Genomic DNA, 21,426 nt, shown 5'->3' with positions numbered 1-21,426 from the left:
ACTATTCACAACAGCTAAGGTGTAAACAACCCAGATGCCCATCAACAGATGAATGGATAAACAGAATGTGGTCTGTCCATAGAATGGAATATTATTCAATACATAAATGAATGAAGAGCTATGTGCTGTAGCATAGATGAACTTTGAAAACTGAAAGGAGCCAGACCCAAAATACTCTATGATTCCATTTATATGAAGTATCCAGAATAGGTAAATCCATAGAGACAAAAAGTAGATGAGTGGTTCCCAGAGGCTGATAGGGAGAAAAGACTGAGGAGTGACTGGTTATTGTGTATGGGATCTCCTTTAGCAATATGAAAATGTTTTGGAACACAGGGAGGTGATGGTTGTACCACATTGTAAGTATATGAAATGCCACTGAATTGTATACTTTAAAATGGTTAATGTTATAAGAATTTCATCTCAATAAAAAATTCAGTTCATCTGAGCTTCAGCTTTCCCTCATAAACACTCAATGTATTTGATGTCTTTTTTTTTTTTGCTGTCACTGCAGCAGAACAGATGTTTGATAAGTCTTAATTCTATTTTAAGACTTATCACAGAAAGTTATATTTCAGAATCTTGTGTTTACATAGCCTTGAACTTATTTTTTCTTGTAATGGGACGATATATTGAGATTATTGAATTTGATGAGAATAGGTGACAATTTAAATGTGAGGAAGAGAATAAATCACAGTTGTAGAAAGGTAAAATTATGTTTTATTGCACATATACTACTTGAGACTTCTTGACCAACTGAAATTCTTCAGCTAATGTACATGTTCCCAAGAAGTGTAGTCAGATAAACCTAACAGAATGTCACTTATCATGATTATTTAGCATTAGAAGTAACACCAAAAAGCAAAGATTAAAATGACCTGGTTTTCCTGATATTCCAAATTCTCATTCTTAACAGCTCCGTTTGTACACTGGAGCAATTTGTCAAGTTTGGAGTCAACAAATTCCAGTTTTATGGATATTGTGAGCCTCTGTCTTTCACCTAGGTCTCTTTATCTTGCTGATCTCTTACATGTTAGCTGTGACAGTTTGTCTTCGACAGTTTGTGGTTACATCATAACAGTAATTGTTTTTTACAACAGTGGATAACATAGGGAGTTTAAGGAGGACTAACTCCAACAAATAGCACAAGTTCCTTGAAAGGTTGACGCTGAAGGCATAAACTCCATTGGATATATGTAGGATCTAGAATGGGATCAGGCTAGTAATAATGTTTGAAAGAGCAGGTTTGGGAGGAGGGAATGGCTTAGGCTACAAGTTGGGCTATGAAATTGCATGTTCCTGATCATAGTTCACGTAATGAAAAGATCTAGATAAATAAGATGCCAAATAACGTTTCTTAGTGGAATCATAATGATTATCATGTTGTGGTGGTAAAAATCATTGGAAATCCTTACTTGGAACTAATTATAGAGTATAAAAGATCTGCAATTTTTCATATAGATTTCTATTACTTTTTAAAAGTTATGGTAAAATATATATAATACAAAGTTTAACATTTTATAGTATACAGTTCAGCAGCATTAAATACGTGTCTATTTACATTGCGTAACCATCACTGCTACCCATGTCTATAACTTTTTCATCATCCCAAACTGAAACTCTGTACCCATTAAACAATACCTCCACATTCCCTCCTCTCCCCAGCCCCTGGTAACCACCATTCTACTGTCTATGAATTTGCCTATTCTAGGTACCTCATATGAGTGGAACCATATAATATTTGTCCTTTTGTGTCTGACTTATTTCCCTTAGCATATTGTCGCCAAGGTTTCCATTACTTTTTAAAATACAGAGTGTTATTATCTTATTGAATTGGCCAGCTAATTAGTTTCAAGTTCTGGAAGTGTTAGAATATTTTATTGTATTTTATTGTGGCTCTCTCATGGGCCGCAATCTCTTCTCTGTCTATACCCTCTCCTTGGGTGACCTCCTCCAACCCTACAATTTCAACTACCATATATATGTTGACTACTCCTAAGTCTGAATCTCCAGTTAGGATCTTCATCTGGATCTCTAGATTCATATTTAAATGCCTTCTTGTCTTCTCCACATGGATGTGTAATGGGAATCTTAGACTTCACATGACCAAATCAGAATTCTTGATTTCCTTTCTCCAAAATCTGCCTCTACTCAAACTTTGCTCACTTAACCAGTTACTAAAACTAAAAATCTAGGCATTGTCCCCAATTCTTTTCTCTCCTTTACTTTACTGTTGTCTCCTCCCTGCCCCCAACCCCCACCATTGTAGCTTCCTATTTTTTACCACATAAATAACTTAGAAACTCATGATTATGATAGTCATCTGTATCAGTGGTCCCCAACCTTTCTGGCATCAGGGACCAGTTTTGTGGAAGACAGTTTTTTCACAGACTGAGGTTGGGGGAATGGTTTCAGGATGATTCAAGCATAGTATATTTATTTTGCCTTTTATTTCTATTATTATTATATTGTAATATATAATGAAATAATTACATAACTCACCATAATGTACAATCAGTAAGAGCCCTGCCCTTGTCTTCCTACAACTAGATGGTCCCATCTGAAGGTGATGGGAGACAGTGACAGATTATCAGGCGTTAGATTATCATAAGGAGCATGCAACCTAGATCCCTCGCATGCACAGTTCACAACAGCGTTAGTACTCCTATGAGAATCAGTGCCACCACTGATCTGACAGGAGGTGGAGCTCAAGCAGTAATGTGAGCAATGGGGAGTGGCTGTAAATACAGATGAAGCTTTGCTCACTTGCCAACTGCTCACCTCTTGGCCTGGTTCCTAACAGGCCATGGACCAGTACTGGTCTGTGACCCAGGAGTTGGGGACCCCTGATCAATGTGACTGATACACAATTCCAGTTATAGTCCATTAACACATCATATTTCATATATGTTTAACAGTTGATCTGGTAAAGATTTAAAAATATTTTGGGGCTAGGCATGGTGGCTCATTGTAATCCCAGTGCTTTGGGAGGCTGAGGTGAGGAGGATCACTTGAGCCCAGGAGTTTGAGACTAGCTGGGAAACATAGCAAAACCCCATCTCTACCAAAAAGACACAAATTAGCCAGGTGTGATGGTGTGTGCCTGTAGTCCCAGCTATGGTGGGGAGGATGAAGTGGGAGGACCACATGAGCCCAGGTGGTTGAGGCTGCAGTGAGCTGTGACTGCACCACTGCACTTCAGCCTGTGCAACAGAGCAAGACCCTGCCTGGAAAAAAAGAAAAAAAAAATATTTGAATAGATGTTTTTACTATAAATGCTGACTAAAAGCTGGGTGGTAGGAGTGTGTGTGAAACTAATTTAGCAGTCGTGTCTGCTGGCCTGTTGCTTCTGCCTTTGTAATATGTCCTAAATCTGCCTGCTTCCCTCCATCTTCAGTACAGCCACCCTAGTCTAAGCCACCAACATTTGTTACTTAGGGTACTGTAGTAATCTCCTCCTTTTGCTGTTGATTCCCTATTGCCTGTTTTTCAAACAGCAACCAAGATGATATCTTAAAAAATTGTTTTCAGTAATTACAAATATAAAGGAAGTTACAAAGATTATATAGAAAGGACCCATACTTGTACCCTTCTCCCAATCCCCCCACCATTGGTTCCATCTTATGTAACTATAGAACCCAGGAAACAGATACTGGAATAAAGTCTAAATATAGTTCTGTGTCATGTCCTCACCTGTGTTGATTCGTATAACCACTGCAATCAAGATTAAGAACTGTTTCATCATGACAATAGATCTCTCGTGTTACCTTTTGTAGTCTTCCCTACCCCCTTACCTCCTACTATCTTTAACCCTTCACAGTGATATTTTTGAAACATGAATCAGATCATATCACTCTCCTGCTTCAAAGCTACCGTAACTGCTTCCAATCTGAGAATAAAATTCAAACTTTTATGGTGAAGTATAAAGTGTTGAATGACTTGTTCCCTCCTTACCTCTGTGGTCTCACCTGGTACCACTGTTGCCCGCACGGTTAGGTACTATAGCTACACTTGCCTTCTTTCTAGTCCTCTAACACAGTGGTTCTCAAAGTGTGATCCCTGGACCAGCAATGTCAGCAGGACCTGGGAATTTGTTAGAAACACATATTTTTAGATTCCACACCAGACCTACTGAACCAGGAAGTCTGTGGGTGAGACCGAGCAATCTCATGTTTTACAGATCCTTGATGATTCTGAAGCATGTTAAAGTTTGAGGACCACTGTTCTAACAAGTCGAACTCTGCCATATGTCGGCTTTTCATTAGCTTTTTTCTCTATCTGGAATATCCTGTTATCCACAACTTAACCATCTTCCCTGACTGGCTCTTTCTTGCATTTAAATTTCTGTTAAAAATATCTCAGCAGAGAGAACTTTCCTCAATATACAGTGTAAAATAACTAGCTACTCATTTCCACATCCCTCTATTTTAGTCTTTTGCATATCGCCTGTCATTACCTGACTTCGTGTGTGTGTCTTTTCCCTGTTAGGTTTTATGCACTCTGAGATCAGTACTTTGTTTTGTTCACCAGTTGATGCCCAGTGCCTAGAATAGTGTTTATCAAATAGTATGTCCTTATGATCCCCATTTTTTTTCTATATTCTCCAGAACAATCAAGCTGTATTCTCCAGGACAGCTTTACAGAGCAACTAAAATGTTGTCTGTAGGCAAAAGATTTGCATAATTTGTTTTTAATATTTGAATGTTGTGATATTTCACATGTGAAATAACCTAGAAAGAGAAAAAAATCTTCATTTTTCTTTTCTCTTTCTTGAGACAGGGTATTACTTTGCCACCCAGGCTGGAATGCAGTGGCATTATCTTAGCTCACTGCAGCCGCAAACTCCTGGGCACAAGTGATCCTCCCACTCTAGCCTCCTGAGTAGCTGGGACTACAGGTGCATGCCATCATGCTTGGCTGAGAAAAATCTTATTGTATGCTGTAGCCTGTATTATCCCACATTGTTTGTAATTATTTATGCATTTATATCAGATAGCCCCTCTTCATTCATTATTAAATCATTGATTATTTTGCTTCACTTAAGATCCCCAAATTCTTTATCAGTTAGGTACTGCCAGGGAATGTACAGATCACAGGAAACTTTAGACACATGTTCTGTATTACTAGGTAGGCATTTGCCCCTACCTCCAGTCTGTCTTTGACCCAGATTAGATAGCTTGGACCTTGGGTGAGCCTTTGGGCCCTTATGCCCCATCCTTCTTATACCCTTTTAGGCAACCAGTATTCGTAGAGGCTCAGGCCACATGGCCTTCTTGGCCCATTTCTCTGGAGCCCATACCCTGGTCCTGTTCTGCGGATCCTAAGATTTTCTTGTGAGAGAAGCCTTTCACTTTAAGGCTTGTAGCCAACTCCTGTCAACCTGTCCTTAGTTGAGAAACCTTAGTTGAGAAACAGGTAGAGGAATCCCCTGATCAGGAGGTATCCTTATGCCTGATTGTTAACTGCAGAAGAATAGTTGGCTTCATTTTAAAAAGGAATCCCCTGATCAGGAGGTATCCTTATGCCTGATTGTTAGCTACAGAAGAATAGTTGGCTTCATTTTAAAAAGAAGGTATTCAGAGCAGCCCAGTTCTTTTTAAAACTCCTTGGCTGCTATCAGTAAAAACAAAATTCTAATATAGAAGACTAATTGTGTATCACAAGACTTGTATCTTTAACCTGTATCAGAGCTCTTCTTTGGAGGTGGAAAGGAGTCAAGAGATTCCTGATAAACATTACAAAACAGTTTCTCCCCCATGCATAATTAAATAGCTTTTAAGTATTATATTTTTTTAATGTTTCTGCTTGGTTATGGGTCTGTGATTGTTTAAAAACTCTTTATATTAATCCCAAATTCAGGGGAATAAACTTGGAGCCTCTGTATTGATATGTATTTAGGTACTTCGGTTTTATTCACTAATTGACATACCATTTTGAATGTCCAGCAAACAGGGATGTAAATTCCTTTAGGCCGGGACCATGTCTTTTATATTCTAAAGCATGCTTAATTTCTTTTTTTTTTTCTTTTTGAGACGGAGTCTTGCTCTGTCGCTTAGGATGGAGTGCAGTGGCGTGATCTTGGCTCACTGCAACCTCTGCAACCCGGGTTCAAGCAGTTCTCCTGTCTCAGCCTCTTGAGTAGCTGGGACTACAGGCGCATGCCACCATGCCCAGCTAGTTTTTGTGTTTTTAGTAGAGATGGAGTTTCACCATATTGATCAGACTGGTCTCAAACTCCTGACCTCAGGTGATCCGCCTGCCTCGGCCTCCCAAAGTGCTGGGATTACAGGTGTGAGCCATGCACCCAGCCAAGCATGCTTAAAATAAGGCACACAGGTAGTCAATAAATGGAGGAGTGGTATGGAAACAATCTTGAGATACACTAAAATAAACAAATGGATGAAAATTTGGTTGGGTATATTAGTAGTTTTGTGGTTCTTAGCCACTTTTGATTATATAAGAAATAGATGGTTATTAGACCAACTTAAAATATTCAAGTATTTTCTTAAGTATTTTTTCAGAGAAACTATTTTAATTTTAATACTGTGTATAGTTAAGCAAAGCAATGAGGCTAAATGTACTAATCTCTGTTACAACTTTTTGTTTTGCTTTCTGAATCCTTCTCATGTGATCCTGGATCTTGGACTGATGATGGAATGATTTTCGAATTCTATGAACCACAGAGCCTATTGTGAAGAATGGCAGGCCTCCAACGTCTCACAGTATGCATTCCTTCCTCCACCAGTACACAGGATCTTTCAAGAAGCCCCCATTGCGGAGACCACACAGTGTTATTGGAGGGAGCCTTGGCTCCTTCATGGCAATGCCCAGAAATGGAAGCAGATTAGGTAATTTGATTACTTGTCTGTTGTGTTTACCTTTCTGATTATACGTCATGCACATAGTTAAGTTTTAATTAAGCAACTTTTATTATCTCGTTTCTTCTGTCAGATAAAAATCAAGTTGAGATCAAGAGGAATAGCAGAAGGATGGAAAGTTCTAGAGAGGTAGTAGTGCTGACAATACAGGGAAGTAATATTTGAAAAACCTGTCCATCAGGAGGGAAATGAAACCCATAATAAATGGATGCAGTATTTCAAGATGAATGGCAGTTTGGGATGGTGTTTATTTTAGGGTAATGCCTCAGTAACTTTTCAGATCATCACCATATAAAGCCTATTATAATGAATAGTATATGTGGTTATCACCTGAATTGTTTCTTCTTCTGTCATTATGTCTTTAAATATCCAAGAAAAAAGAATTGCAAGTTTCTGTTTATTCCTCTGGCCTTTTTTGATGATGCCTTATGTTTTTATTTTTATTTTTATTTTTTTTGAGACAGTGTCTCACTCTGTCACCCAGGCTGGAGGGGAATGCAGTGGTGCTATTGAAGCTCACTGCAGCCCTGACCTCCCAGGCTCAAATGATCCTCCCACCTCAGCCTCCTGAGTAGCTGGAACTACCTGTGCATGCCGCTACGCCTGGCTAATTTGTTTGTTTGTTTGTTTTTGTTTTTTTTTTTTTTTTAGAAGACGGGGTCTCACTGTGTTGCCCAGGCTGGTCTTGAACTCCTGGACTCAAGTGATCCACTTGCCTCAGCCTCCCAGAGGGCTGGGATTACAGGCATGAGCCACCACACCTGGCCTATTATGTTTTGATTTTTAAAATCACTTCAAGTACAACTATTTTATAGTCTTCTTAGATAATTATATTTACTGAAGCTCCTTGGGGTTTTATTCTACTGCTCGTTTTATGTGCTTACTCTTGGAATAGTATATTATTTCCAAATGTGTTTCTTTAATTTTGGGAGTATGAGCTTATCTACAGTGAGATTTTTTCTGTGAGAACTGCATATAGCCTTTATCTCTGTAGGTGTGTCTCTACAGAATGGTATGCTGGAGTTGGCTCACACTAGTTCATAAGAGATGATTGTTAAAGTTTCAGGAACTTTGCAAACTGGTTGTTAAACATAGCTATTAAATTTTAAATTATATAAGTTTACAAATAGGTAAACTAAATTAAAAACAAAGGTAATGAATATGCAAAAGTCATTGCTTCCTAATTTTTTACCACTTTTAACTATTATCTATGCCACCGGCGTTATTTTTTTCTGTTCTAGTTATAGTCAAAAACACTATATAATGGTATGCTACTGCACATTTCTTCCCAACCATATGTTCAGTGTTGTCATGTTGGTAGCCTGAAGTTGTCCATGGAGAGAGAAGTCAGAAAACACTACAGATCAGGCCCTGGCTTATTGTTTTCTTGTTTGTCTAGACCAGGGTTTGTTTTTTTTTTTTTTGTAAGGGGGCAGTTAGTAATAAATATTTTAGGTTTTATGGGCATACAGTCTCCATTGCATATTCTTCTCTGTTTAATAATCCTTTAAAAATACAAAAAACATTTTTAGCTCATGGGCCATATAAAAAGAAGCCACACTTGTTCTAGACCCTTGTTCTAGAACTAAGACAGTGTATTGAAAATGTTAGTAACGCAGATTAAATTTAAAGGGTATTGTGCTGGAGGAGAAAAGTATGTTGTATCTGCCGCTGTTACATTACCTGATCAGCAGAGAGATATCCCTCTTCCCCCCTTGACAGATGAGTAAAGTTCTGACAAGCCATCATTGTTTCACGTTTGTCTTGATGGAAATGAAAATACCGACTGGTAGTCATGTCAGAACTACACTTGTTTGTTAATGACGTGAGTAATTTCTTGTTTGGGTCAGATGGTACTCAAGTATTTATTCATAGTCTGAGATTAGTAAGCTTTCTTTGTCGTCCAATTCCTTGTGCAACAGGACAGATTTTTTTTTAAGTGTGAATTTTTTTTTTTTATTATACTTTAAGTTTTAGGGTACATGTGCACATTGTGCAGGTTAGTTACATATGTATACATGTGCCATGCTGGTGCGCTGCACCCACTAACTCGTCATCTAGCCTTAGGTATATCTCCCAATGCTATCCCTCCCCCCTCCCCCCACCCCACCACAGTCCCCAGAGTGTGATATTCCCCTTCATGTGTCCATGTGATCTCATTGTTCAATTCCCACCTATGAGTGAGAATATGCGGTGTTTGGTTTTTTGTTCTTGCGATAGTTTACTGAGAATGATGATTTCCAATTTCATCCATGTCCCTACAAAGGACATGAACTCATCAATTTTTATGGCTGCATAGTATTCCATGGTGTATATGTGCCACATTTTCTTAATCCAGTCTATCATTGTTGGACATTTGGGTTGGTTCCAAGTCTTTGCTATTGTGAATAATGCCGCAATAAACATACGTGTGCATGTGTCTTTATAGCAGCATGATTTATAGTCATTTGGGTATATACCCAGTAATGGGATGGCTGGGTCAAATGGTATTTCTAGTTCTAGATCCCTGAGGAATCGCCACACTGACTTCCACAATGGTTGAACTAGTTTACAGTCCCACCAACAGTGTAAAAGTGTTCCTATTTCTCCACATCCTCTCCAGCACCTGTTGTTTCCTGACTTTTTAATGATTGCCATTCTAACTGGTGTGAGATGATATCTCATAGTGGTTTTGATTTGCATTTCTCTGATGGCCAGTGATGATGAGCATTTTTTCATGTGTTTTTTGGCTGCATAAATGTCTTCTTTTGAGAAGTGTCTGTTCATGTCCTTCGCCCACTTTTTGATGGGGTTGTTTGTTTTTTTCTTGTAAATTTGTTTGAGTTCATTGTAGATTCTGGATATTAGCCCTTTGTCAGATGAGTAGGTTGCGAAAATTTTCTCCCATGTTGTAGGTTGCCTGTTCACTCTGATGGTAGTTTCTTTTGCTGTGCAGAAGCTCTTTAGTTTAATTAGATCCCATTTGTCAATTTTGGCTTTTGTTGCCATTGCTTTTGGTGTTTTGGACATGAAGTCCTTGCCCATGCCTATGTCCTGAATGGTAATGCCTAGGTTTTCTTCTAGGGTTTTTATGGTTTTAGGTCTAACGTTTAAATCTTTAATCCATCTTGAATTGATTTTTGTATAAGGTGTAAGGAAGGGATCCAGTTTCAGCTTTCTCCATATGGCTAGCCAGTTTTCCCAGCACCATTTATTAAATAGGGAATCCTTTCCCCATTGCTTGTTTTTCTCAGGTTTGTCAAAGATCAGATAGTTGTAGGTATGCGGTGTTATTTCTGAAGGCTCTGTTCTGTTCCATTGATCTATATCTCTGTTTTGGTACCAGTACCATGCTGTTTTGGTTACTGTAGCCTTGTAGTATAGTTTGAAGTCAGGTAGCGTGATGCCTCCAGCTTTGTTCTTTTGGCTTAGGATTGACTTGGCGATGCGGGCTCTTTTTTGGTTCCATATGAACTTTAAAGTAGTTTTTCCCAATTCTGTGAAGAAAGTCATTGGTAGCTTGATGGGGATGGCATTGAATCTGTAAATTACCTTGGGCAGTATGGCCATTTTCACGATATTGATTCTTCCTACCCATGAGCATGGAATGTTCTTCCATTTGTTTGTATCCTCTTTTATTTCCTTGAGCAGTGGTTTGTAGTTCTCCTTGAAGAGGTCCTTCACATCCCTTGTAAGTTGGATTCCTAGGTATTTTATTCTCTTTGAAGCAATTGTGAATGGGAGTTCACTCATGATTTGGCTCTCTGTTTGTCTGTTGTTGGTGTATAAGAATGCTTGTACAATGTATAAGATTTTTGTACATTGATTTTGTATCCTGAGACTTTGCTGAAGTTGCTTATCAGCTTAAGGAGATTTTGGGCTGAGACGATGGGGTTTTCTAGATAATCATGTCGTCTGCAAACAGGGACAATTTGACTTCCTCTTTTCCTAATTGAATACCCTTTATTTCCTTCTCCTGCCTGATTGCCCTGGCCAGAACTTCCAACACTATGTTGAATAGGAGCGGTGAGAGAAGGCATCCCTGTCTTGTGCCAGTTTTCAAAGGGAATGCTTCCAGTTTTTGCCCATTCAGTATGATATTGGCTGTGGGTTTGTCATAGATAGCTCTTATTATTTTGAAATACGTCCCATCAATACCTAATTTATTGAGAGTTTTTAGCATGAAGGGTTGTTGAATTTTGTCAAAGGCTTTTTCTGCATCTATTGAGATAATCATGTGGTTTTTGTCTTTGGCTCTGTTTATATGCTGGATTACATTTGTTGATTTGCGTATATTGAACCAGCCTTGCATCCCAGGGATGAAGCCCACTTGATCATGGTGGATAAGCTTTTTGATGTGCTGCTGGATTCCGTTTGCCAGTATTTTATTGAGGATTTTTGCATCAATGTTCATCAAGGATATTGGTCTAAAATTCTCTTTTTTGGTTGTGTCTCTGCCCAGCTTTGGTATCAGAATGATGCTGGCCTCATAAAATGAGTTAGGGAGGATTCCCTCTTTTTCTATTGATTGGAATAGTTTCAGAAGGAATGGTACCAGTTCCTCCTTGTACCTCTGGTAGAATTCGGCTGTGAATCCATCTGGTCCTGGACTCTTTTTGGTTGGTAAACTATTGATTATTGCCACAATTTCAGCTCCTGTTATTGGTCTATTCAGAGATTCAACTTCTTCCTGGTTTAGTCTTGGGAGAGTGTATGTGTTGAGGAATGTATCCATTTCTTCTAGATTTTCTAGTTTATTTGCGTACAGGTGTTTGTAGTATTCTCTGATGGTAGTTTGTATTTCTGTGGGATCAGTGGTGATATCCCCTTTATCATTTTTTATTGTGTCTATTTGATTCTTCTCTCTTTTTTTCTTTATTAGTCTTGCTAGCGGTCTATCAATTTTGTTGATCCTTTCAAAAAACCAGCTCCTGGATTCATTGATTTTTGAAGGGTTTTTTGTGTCTCTATTTCCTTCAGTTCTGCTCTGATTTTAGTTATTTCTTGCCTTCTGCTAGCTTTTGAATGTGTTTGCTCTTGCTTTTCTAGTTCTTTTAATTGTGATGTTAGGGTGTCAATTTTGGATCTTTCCTGCTTTCTCTTGTGGGCATTTAGTGCTATAAATTTCCCTCTACACACTGCTTTGAATGCGTCCCAGAGATTCTGGTATGTTGTGTCTTTGTTCTCGTTGGTCTCAAAGAACATCTTTATTTCTGCCTTCATTTCGTTATGTACCCAGTAGTCATTCAGGAGCAGGTTGTTCAGTTTCCATGTAGTTGAGCGGTTTTGAGTGAGATTCTTAATCCTGAGTTCTAGTTTGATTGCACTGTGGTCTGAGAGATAGTTTGTTAAAATTTCTGTTCTTTTACATTTGCTGAGGAGAGCTTTACTTCCAACTATGTGGTCAATTTTGGAATAGGTGTGGTGTGGTGCTGAAAAAAATGTATATTCTGTTGATTTGGGGTGGAGAGTTCTGTAGATGTCTATTAGGTCCGCTTGGTGCAGAGCTGAGTTCAATTCCTGGGTATCCTTGTTGACTTTCTGTCTCGTTGATCTGTCTAATGTTGACAGTGGGGTGTTAAAGTCTCCCATTATTAATGTGTGGGAGTCTAAGTCTCTTTGTAGGTCACTCAGGACTTGCTTGATGAATCTGGGTGCTCCTGTATTGGGTGCATATATATTTAGGATAGTTAGCTCCTCCTGTTGAATTGATCCCTTTACCATTATGTAATGGCCTTCTTTGTCTCTTTTGATCTTTGTTGGTTTAAAGTCTGTTTTATCAGAGACTAGGATTGCAACCCCTGCTTTTTTTTGTTTTCCATTTGCTTGGTAGATCTTCCTCCATCCTTTTATTTTGAGCCTATGTGTGTGTCTGCATGTGAGATGGGTTTCCTGAATACAGCACACTGATGAGTCTTGACTCTTTATCCAACTTGCCAGTCTGTGTCTTTTAATTGGAGAATTTAGTCCATTTACATTTAAAGTTAATATTGTTATGTGTGAATTTGATCCTGTCATTATGATGTTAGGTGGTGATTTTGCTCATTAGTTGATGCAGTTTCTTCCTAGTCTCGATGGTCTTTACATTTTGGCATGATTTTGCAGCGGCTGGTACCAGTTGTTCCTTTCCATGTTTAGCACTTCCTTCAGGAGCTCTTTTAGGGCAGGCCTGGTGGTGACAAAATCTCTCAGCATTTGCTTGTCTGTAAAGTATTTTATTTCTCCTTCACTTATGAAGCTTAGTTTGGCTGGATGTGAAATTCTGGGTTGAAAATTCTTTTCTTTAAGAATGTTGAATATTGGCCCCCACTCTCTTCTGGCTTGTAGGGTTTCTGCCGAGAGATCCACTGTTAGTCTGATGGGCTTCCCTTTGAGGGTAACCCGACCTTTCTCTCTGGCTGCCCTTAACATTTTTTCCTTCATTTCAACTTTGGTGAATCTGACAATTATGTGTCTTGGAGTTGCTCTTCTCGAGGAGTATCTTTGTGGCATTCTCTGTATTTCCTGAATCTGAACGTTGGCCTGCCTTGCTAGATTGGGGAAGTTCTCCTGGATAATATCCTGCAGAGTGTTTTCCAACTTGGTTCCATTCTCCGCATCACTTTCAGGTACACCAATCAGACGTAGATTTGGTCTTTTCACATAGTCCCATATTTCTTGGAGGCTTTGCTCATTTCTTTTTATTCTTTTTTCTCTAAACTTCCCTTCTCACTTCATTTCATCTTCGATCGCTGATACCCTTTCTTCCAGTTGATCGCATCGGCTCCTGAGGCTTCTGCATTCTTCATGTAGTTCTCGAGCCTTGGTTTTCAGCTCCATCAGCTCCTTTAAGCACTTCTCTGTATTGGTTATTCTAGTTATACATTCTTCTAAATTTTTTTCAAAGTTTTCAACTTCTTTGCCTTTGGTTTGAATGTCCTCCCGTAGCTCAGAGTAATTTGATCGTCTGAAGCCTTCTTCTCTCAGCTCGTCAAAGTCATTCTCCATCCAGCTTTGTTCCGTTGCTGGTGAGGAACTGTGTTCCTTTGGAGGAGGAGAGGCACTCTGCGTTTTAGAGTTTCCAGTTTTTCTGTTCTGTTTTTTCCCCATCTTTGTGGTTTTATCTACTTTTGGTCTTTGATGATGGTGATGTACAGATGGGTTTTCGGTGTGGATGTCCTTTCTGTTTGTTAGTTTTCCTTCTAACAGACAGGACCCTCAGCTGCAGGTCTGTTGGAATACCCTGCCGTGTGAGGTGTCAGTGTGCCCCTGCTGGGGGGTGCCTCACAGTTAGGCTGCTCGGGGGTCAGGGGGTCAGGGACCCACTTGAGGAGGCAGTCTGCCCGTTCTCAGATCTCCAGCTGCGTGCTGGGAGAACCACTGCTCTCTTCAAAGCTGTCAGACAGGGACATTTAAGTCTGCAGAGGTTCCTGCTGTCTTTTTGTTTGTCTGTGCCCTGCCCCCAGAGGTGGAGCCTACAAAGGCAGGCAGGCCTCCTTGAGCTGTGGTGGGCTCCACCCAGTTCGAGCTTCGTGGCTGCTTTGTTTACCTAAGCAAGCCTGGGCAATGGCGGGCGCCCCTCCCCCAGCCTCGCTGCCGCCTTGCGGTTTGATCTCAGACTGCTGTGCTAGCAATCAGCAAGACTCCGTGGGCGTAGGACCCTCCGAGCCAGGTGTGGTATATAGTCTCGTGGTGCGCCGTTTTTTAAGCCGGTCTGACAAGCGCAATATTCGGGTGGGAGTGACCCGATTTTCCAGGTGCGTCCGTCACCCCTTTCTTTGACTCGGAAAGAGAACTCCCTGACCCCTTGCGCTTCCCAGGTGAGGCAATGCCTCGCCCTGCTTCGGCTAGTGCACGGTGCGCACACACACTGGCCTGCGCCCACTGTCTGGCACTCCCTAATGAGATGAACCCGGTACCTCAGATGGAAATGCAGAAATCACCCGTCTTCTGCGTCGCTCACGCTGGGAGCTGTAGACCGGAGCTGTTCCTATTCGGCCATCTTGGCTCCTCCCTCTGATTTTTTTTTTAAATGTACCCTGTAAGTCTCAAAAGTGTAGCACTTTGGGAGTTGAGCCTTTCTGTGGGAAGGTCTCACTTGTAACTCAGAAACCCAGGGCTTCATTTTTTATCCCAATGTGGAAGGTAAACCCAGGGACCTTCTCATCAACATCAGCAGCCTCTCCTAAGACACTGATAGAGTCAATTTATGTATAACAGCTTTGGGTTTTCAGTCCTCTCTTTGTTTTTGCTTCCTAGGTATTACCAATACATTCTTGCACATTTAGCTGTGCATTTTAAAATATTGTATTTTAGTCAACATTTTCTTGAGGAAAGGGAGATTTTCATATCTCACTAGAAATGGAAGCCATGATTAAATTATTTTTAACATTTTGAAGGTGTGACAGAAATGAATACAGGACCTTAGATGTGTTATATACCAAATTTTAAGAGGTTAGGAATCAATCACCAATACATTACTTTTGCTGCCAAATTAATTTTTTGTTCACATATCACCATAAAATTTCTATGGAAATCTCAACATAACTGAAGTGTATTCTTAGATTACATATTGAGCTATTAAAAATCCATTACCATTTGCAACTGCTTATGAATATTAATTGGAGTTTTCTTAATATTGAGTTAACCAAGACAAAAATACAGACATAAAGTGAGTTTTAAGATAGAGTTGATATAAGACCCTTGAGTTCAAATTTCTCCTTAATCTAAGCAGTCCTCATGATTTTATATGTAAATATTATTAAAAGTTAACATTTATACTTATAAAATACAATTGTCTCACACATTGATATTTTATATAACTTTATTTGAAAAAGAGATCTAGTTATCTAGGCCATTCCTTGATTGTTAGTTAATATGCAGTTCCCTTGAATACTTGTTAAGCACCTTCTGAGTGCCAGACAGTTGGTTAAGTTCTGGAAATAGAAAAGTGAACAAGCTAAATCCCATCCCCAAGGATCTTATAAAATCACATGCACCAAAAAATGTTCTTCAGTGCAGTGGGTGGGGGCACAGTAGTCAACTGTGTCTGAGATTAGAAAAGACTTCACTGAGTGATGACACATGAGCATAGTTTGAAGACTAAGCCTGATCTCACAAAGTTGATAAAATAGGAAAAGGCATCTTTTAAAAACGAGAAAAAAAGTGTGTTAAAGCACTGCAGCATGAAACAACATGCTTCTTTCTGGAAAATGAATACGTGTATAGAAAGTAATAGTGGCAAGAGAGGAGTTCTAGAGATCCAGCATTTGTTTCCTAGTACACTCTTCTTGCTGGGTTATTAGATAATGACTGACAAATGCAGGTATATGAGTATACAACTTGGCCAGATGTGGTGGCTCATGCCTGTAATCCCATCACTTTGAGAGGCCAAGGTGGGTGGATTCCTGAAGTTGCAGTTTTTTGAATTTTTGCAATCAGACCTTGGTGATGACCTTGAGCAGTAGGATATAAGTAGCTCCCACATGCTTAGCTTCCAATAATGGAACACTAGGCATAAATGGCTACAAGTTCAAGATGAGCCTGAACAACAAGGCAAAACCTTGTCTCTACAAAAAAAATAAAATAAAATAAAACAAAACAAAACACCAGATGTGATGGGTGCCTGTACTCCCAGCTACTTGGGAGGCAGGAGGATTGCTTGAGCCTGGGAAGTAGAGGCTGCAGTGAGCCATGGTTGTGTCACTGCACTCCAGCTTGGCCAACAGAGCAAGACCTTGTCTCAAAAACAAAACAGTATATGTCTGTTTTTAATATTTTCAAATGGAATTTATCTTCCTCCCCCTACTTCCATTTAACTTTTATCTCTATTAAGCATGCCATAACCCACCTTTTTTGTAGTATGTTTTTGCTCTGAACAGATTTTTGAGTATTTGAAGATCATAAACTTGTTTTTGTAGTTCTGGTACAAAATAGATATTCAGTGAATAATTTTTTATTGTTTTATTTTTAACATTGGGGGTGCAGGGAGGAGAAACTGCATTAGAAGCTTTTAAGAGGTGTTTTAAAGAATATTCCAAGAATTAGCTCCATTTAACCATAGACCCAGTGACACATTATTTAATTGAAAGAATACTAAATAAGAGGCAGATGACCAGGTGTCTATTCCAGCTCTGCATCTAAGCTTTGTGAACTTTTGAAAGTCATTTAACCTTTCAAGTCTCAGTTCCCAGATCTAGAAAATGAAAGAACTGGCTCATTCTCAGAGATATTATTTCCAGTTTATAATTTTATTACTCAACCCTTGATAATAACTTGAATGTTAATTTTTTTCATAATTTGAAAGTGTAAAAAGATTTCATACTATTTTAAGACATTTGAGTCATGTTTTCATCTATTAACTGCATACCTGTGGCACCCAGAATGTAAATGACTTTTTATGCTGTGATTTTTACTCGTTGGCCTTCTATATTTTACCCATAGTGATAATAAATTATATATTAGAATATAATGTATCTCTTTTAATGTCTCATTTTTTGATATAGATATTGTTCATGAAAATCTAAAAATGGGATCAGATGGTGAGAGTGACCAAGCTTCTGGGACATCATCTGATGAAGTCCAGTCACCTACAGGTGTTTGTCTCAGAAATCGTATACATAGACGGATCTCAATGGAGGTAATCATTTAAAAAATACAAATATACTTGTGAATATGTGTGTTGGTATATGTTAATACACATACATATCAAGTGGAGTAAATGCCCATTTAAAAATTTTCATGAAGACACGTGACACTTGTAAGAAAGTTACTTCTTTGCATTCATAAATTGCAGTCTGTGAATATTTCCTCTTTTTTAATTTTTATCCCAATGTAGATATGTAATATAGTTGTTCGCATTCTGTGAAACATTTTATTTTAATTTTTTGCGAAACGTTATTTTAGGTTATCCATTAAGGAGAAGTGAATTTTCAAAAATTCTGGAAATACAGAATGATACATTAGCAATGTCTTCTTTTTAGAAAATACGATTTTAATGATATTTTTGAGATTCATCTGGATAATTAGCATTTTATTTTCTCTGTTTCAAATTTTAAGAGGTATAAATAAACAGCTTTTTTTTCTTGCATTATATTATAAAAGTGGGTGTCCTTTCCTTTGTGGTTCACTGTACCTACTGATCTCTGAAGCACATTTATTTCTCCGTGTAAAAGGATGAAGAATTCATTTTCTTTTCTTTGTAAGTGTTGTGGTATAACCTTGAGGACATAAGTTGATCGTGACTGTTATTTCAGTACGTACTGTAAACTAAAATAGGTTTCTGCAAAAAAAAATTGAACATGTTTTGAAATGAAAGTATTGTTGCTTTTTTGGTGCTGTTGAGATGATGATTAAGGTATCTCTCCTATTGGTTGATTATATTTTCATTATAAAAGGATTCTTCTTAATCAGTTAAGGAAATCTTATCAGTTTTCTAAATGATAAATTAACATTTTCACTTGTTGAAATCAACGATATATTTATGTGACACAATACTAATGAAAATATTTCTTATTTTTCTTCACCTTATAGATGATTTTTTAAAATCATTTGTTTTATTTAGTATTAGGGTCTGTATCTGGAGTTTCTCATTCTTCGTTGAGCTATAATTTGTTTCCCCACCACCAAGGAGGCATGCTCTAGATTATATTCTTTTTATAGTATATATTTTTTTCTGGTTTATGAGACAGGGCCTCACTCTGTCACCCAGACTGGAGTACAGTGGTGGGATCTCAGCTCACCACAGCCTCAACCTCCTGGGCTCAAGTGATCCTCCTGCCTTAGCCCCAAGTAGCTGGGACTACAGGCACACACCACCATGCCCGGCTAATTTTTTTGTATTTTTTGTAGAGACAGGGTTTCACCATATTGGCTTCCCAAAGTGCTAGGATTACAGGCTTGAGCCACTGCGCCTGACCTGTAGTATATTTTAATATCTGGAAAGACTTCTTTCTGTATCCCTCCCCCATATACACATATACTCTTTCTTATTTTAGAATGTTTTTGGATTTTTTCTGTTTATTCTATTGATACATTTTAGGCATTTTATTTTGTTCTAAGAATAAGCTTATTGTGATTTCTTAGTGGTTATATAACTTATAAAATTAATATAGGGAGGACCAGTATCTTCTCCTTACTTATTCTTACCATTTGGTGGCATTGTATGTTTTTATACTTAAGTCTTATATTTCTCAGTAAATATTTATGCAGTTCCTATACCTCTCCATTCCGTTTCATGGTTTGGCTGCTGTTATGAATGGGAGGAATTTCTTTTTATAGGGCTTAAATTTCTTGATACAATGATATAGGCAAGATTCTTTTCAAGTTTATCCCAGCTCACATTGTATAATTAAATAAAGTAGAAATGCCATTAACATGGCAGTAATAAATACAATTCTCTTTCCCCATGTTGCATACAAGATCATATAATGTCTACTTGGTTAGTTATTTAAACTGATCACAGAGTTTGTGGTAGTGTTTGCCTAATGTTACTATATGGTATAATAAATTTAAAGTAAATTTCAAGTTGAATTTACCAGTGAAAGGACTCAAAAATTACTGAGGTTGCAAAATTTCATTTCTGTAACACTTCGCTGTATACTTTTGCTTACAGTAAATGTTTTTGCCATGAGTATATTACATATAATCAATGTAGGTAACTTTGCAACTGCAATAAAACTTTACAATTACTTATCACTAAGAAATAATATGTTAGAGCCTGTGAATACAAAAGCCAAATGCCTTGCCTTTACTATTTTGGATTACCTTTTTTTTTTTTTAAGGATTTAAATAAGCGGTTATCACTGCCTGCAGACATCAGAATACCTGATGGATATCTTGAAAAGTTGCAGATAAACAGTCCACCATTTGACCAACCAATGAGTCGAAGGTCTCGTAGAGCTTCCTTAGTAAGTTTTTGGTCTCCTATACCTCCACCATCAATCAGATCTGCTTGTTTGCTGCTTCTGGGTGTAAACATTTTAAATTAATTTTTATACTTGACTTTAGAATAGCTAAATTTTATTATATTGCCTTCTCGATTTTTATTATTTTCCATTCTTAAAGGTTTATTGGAGTCCTTAAGATGCATTCAATAGGATGCATATTGGAATAGGATTTAAGGTATATTTTATTTTTGGTAAATGTTATTAATACATGCTAGGTAGATAAATACATACTAGATATATAGATACACTAGATATGTGCTGGATAAATAAACATGTATTAATATATACTAGATATACAGAGAAGTACACAAACCATAATTGTACAGCTCAACGAACCTTTGAAATGTTAATATACCTGTGTAACCAGTACCTGGATCAGTAAAAGAAAATTTCAGAAATCCCAGAAACCCCCTTCTGTTCCCTTTCTCTTTACTTAGTATTCCTCACTTCCTCAACTGTAGCCATACTCTCTGCCTTCTGATGCTAAAGATTAGTTTTACCCATATGTGTGACATTGTTCTGATCATACTGTTTTTATAGTATGTTTTGGTATCTGGATCTTCTAAAATCCCATTCACATATATTCTTATTTGTTTTTTAAATGTGTAATATTCTCTTTCTGATTATCCTTATTAAAACGTCTGAGCTTTGTGTAATTATGAATATGTAATTATATTAAAATATATTTTATGTAGATATACAGAATTATATACTTATACAAAGTTTGTATATATATATTGCACAATATGTATCCCAGTATGTATGGAAGTTATACAGTATGTATTATTTTTGTTGTTAGCTTCTTTTGTTCAGTGTTATGTTTGTGAGTTTCAGCCCTATTTTTGCATGTAATTATAGATAATTCGTTTTCATTGTTGCATGGTATTCCATTTATGAGTGTACTGTACTTCATCCATTCTCCTATCGATGGGCATTCTGGTTGTTTTCGGTTTTTGGCTATTACCAAATAATGCTTCTATCACCATTCCTGTGCATGTTTTTTGGTTAACATGTAAGCATTTCTGTTGAGTGCTTACCTAGGAGTGGAATTGTTGCATTATATTCTGCTTCCCTAGATACTGTCAACAGCTTTCCAGAGTGGTTGTACCAACTTATACGTATATCACTAGCATATAATAGTTCTGGTTGTTCTCCTTGCCAACTTTTGATAATGTCTTTTAAAAATTATTATTTTAAGTTTTCTAGCAAGTTGATAGTGGTCTCTTGGTTTTATTTTGCATTTCTCTGATGACTAAGTTGAACACCTTTCTGTGTGTTTATTATTCATCGTATGTTTATTGTATGTTTATATTTAGATACTCTCTTTTGTGAATTAACTACCCAAGTCTGTTTTTCTTCTTTTTTCTATTGGGTTTTCTGTCTTTTTTATTGGTTTATACGAATTTTTAAGTATACTTTATATACAGGACCTTTGTCAGTTACATGTCTTACAAATATATTTTCTTAATATTTAGTAATTAACCCAGCACCATTTATTCAAAGGATAACTTTTCTTATTGCAGTATCACTTTAATGTAAATTCAGGTGATTGTTTATGTGAGAATCTCTTTTGGATGACTATAGTCCTGTAGTAGAGATACATATAAAGTGCTTTGGGACAACAAAAGAGGCAGCAAGTAAAA

At 37.7% G+C, this 21,426-nt stretch overlaps 1 protein-coding gene across 5 annotated transcripts in view, besides 2 other annotated features; it reads left to right on the top strand.

Annotated features, from left to right (window-relative positions):
- Window positions 1-21,426, top strand: part of CDK17 (cyclin dependent kinase 17) — a 122,215-nt gene that overhangs the window by 69,644 nt on the left and 31,145 nt on the right. For all 5 annotated transcript variants that reach the window (NM_001170464.4, XM_017019407.3, NM_002595.5 and 2 more), the window contains exons 3-5: window positions 6,684-6,848; window positions 17,342-17,475; window positions 19,619-19,744. In NM_001170464.4, coding sequence (NP_001163935.1) covers window positions 6,684-6,848; window positions 17,342-17,475; window positions 19,619-19,744 — 425 coding nt within the window. The remainder of the gene's footprint in view (window positions 1-6,683; window positions 6,849-17,341; window positions 17,476-19,618; window positions 19,745-21,426) is intronic.
- Window positions 13,959-14,589: an enhancer, noted in NCBI's record as "OCT4-NANOG-H3K27ac-H3K4me1 hESC enhancer chr12:96709985-96710615 (GRCh37/hg19 assembly coordinates)". NCBI's record gives its function as "activates a minimal SCP1, AML or CMV promoter by ChIP-STARR-seq in primed H9 embryonic stem cells {active_cell/tissue: H9 hESC(primed)}" and the evidence as "EXISTENCE:reporter gene assay evidence [ECO:0000049][PMID:30033119]".
- Window positions 14,590-15,222: an enhancer, noted in NCBI's record as "NANOG-H3K27ac-H3K4me1 hESC enhancer chr12:96709352-96709984 (GRCh37/hg19 assembly coordinates)". NCBI's record gives its function as "activates a minimal SCP1, AML or CMV promoter by ChIP-STARR-seq in primed H9 embryonic stem cells {active_cell/tissue: H9 hESC(primed)}" and the evidence as "EXISTENCE:reporter gene assay evidence [ECO:0000049][PMID:30033119]".

This window comes from Homo sapiens, chromosome 12, assembly GCF_000001405.40.
Source record: "Homo sapiens chromosome 12, GRCh38.p14 Primary Assembly".
In the NCBI taxonomy this organism is placed as follows: domain Eukaryota; kingdom Metazoa; phylum Chordata; class Mammalia; order Primates; family Hominidae; genus Homo; species Homo sapiens.
Note: the sequence above shows the minus strand (reverse complement) of the source record. Positions and strands in the feature narration are given on the sequence as shown.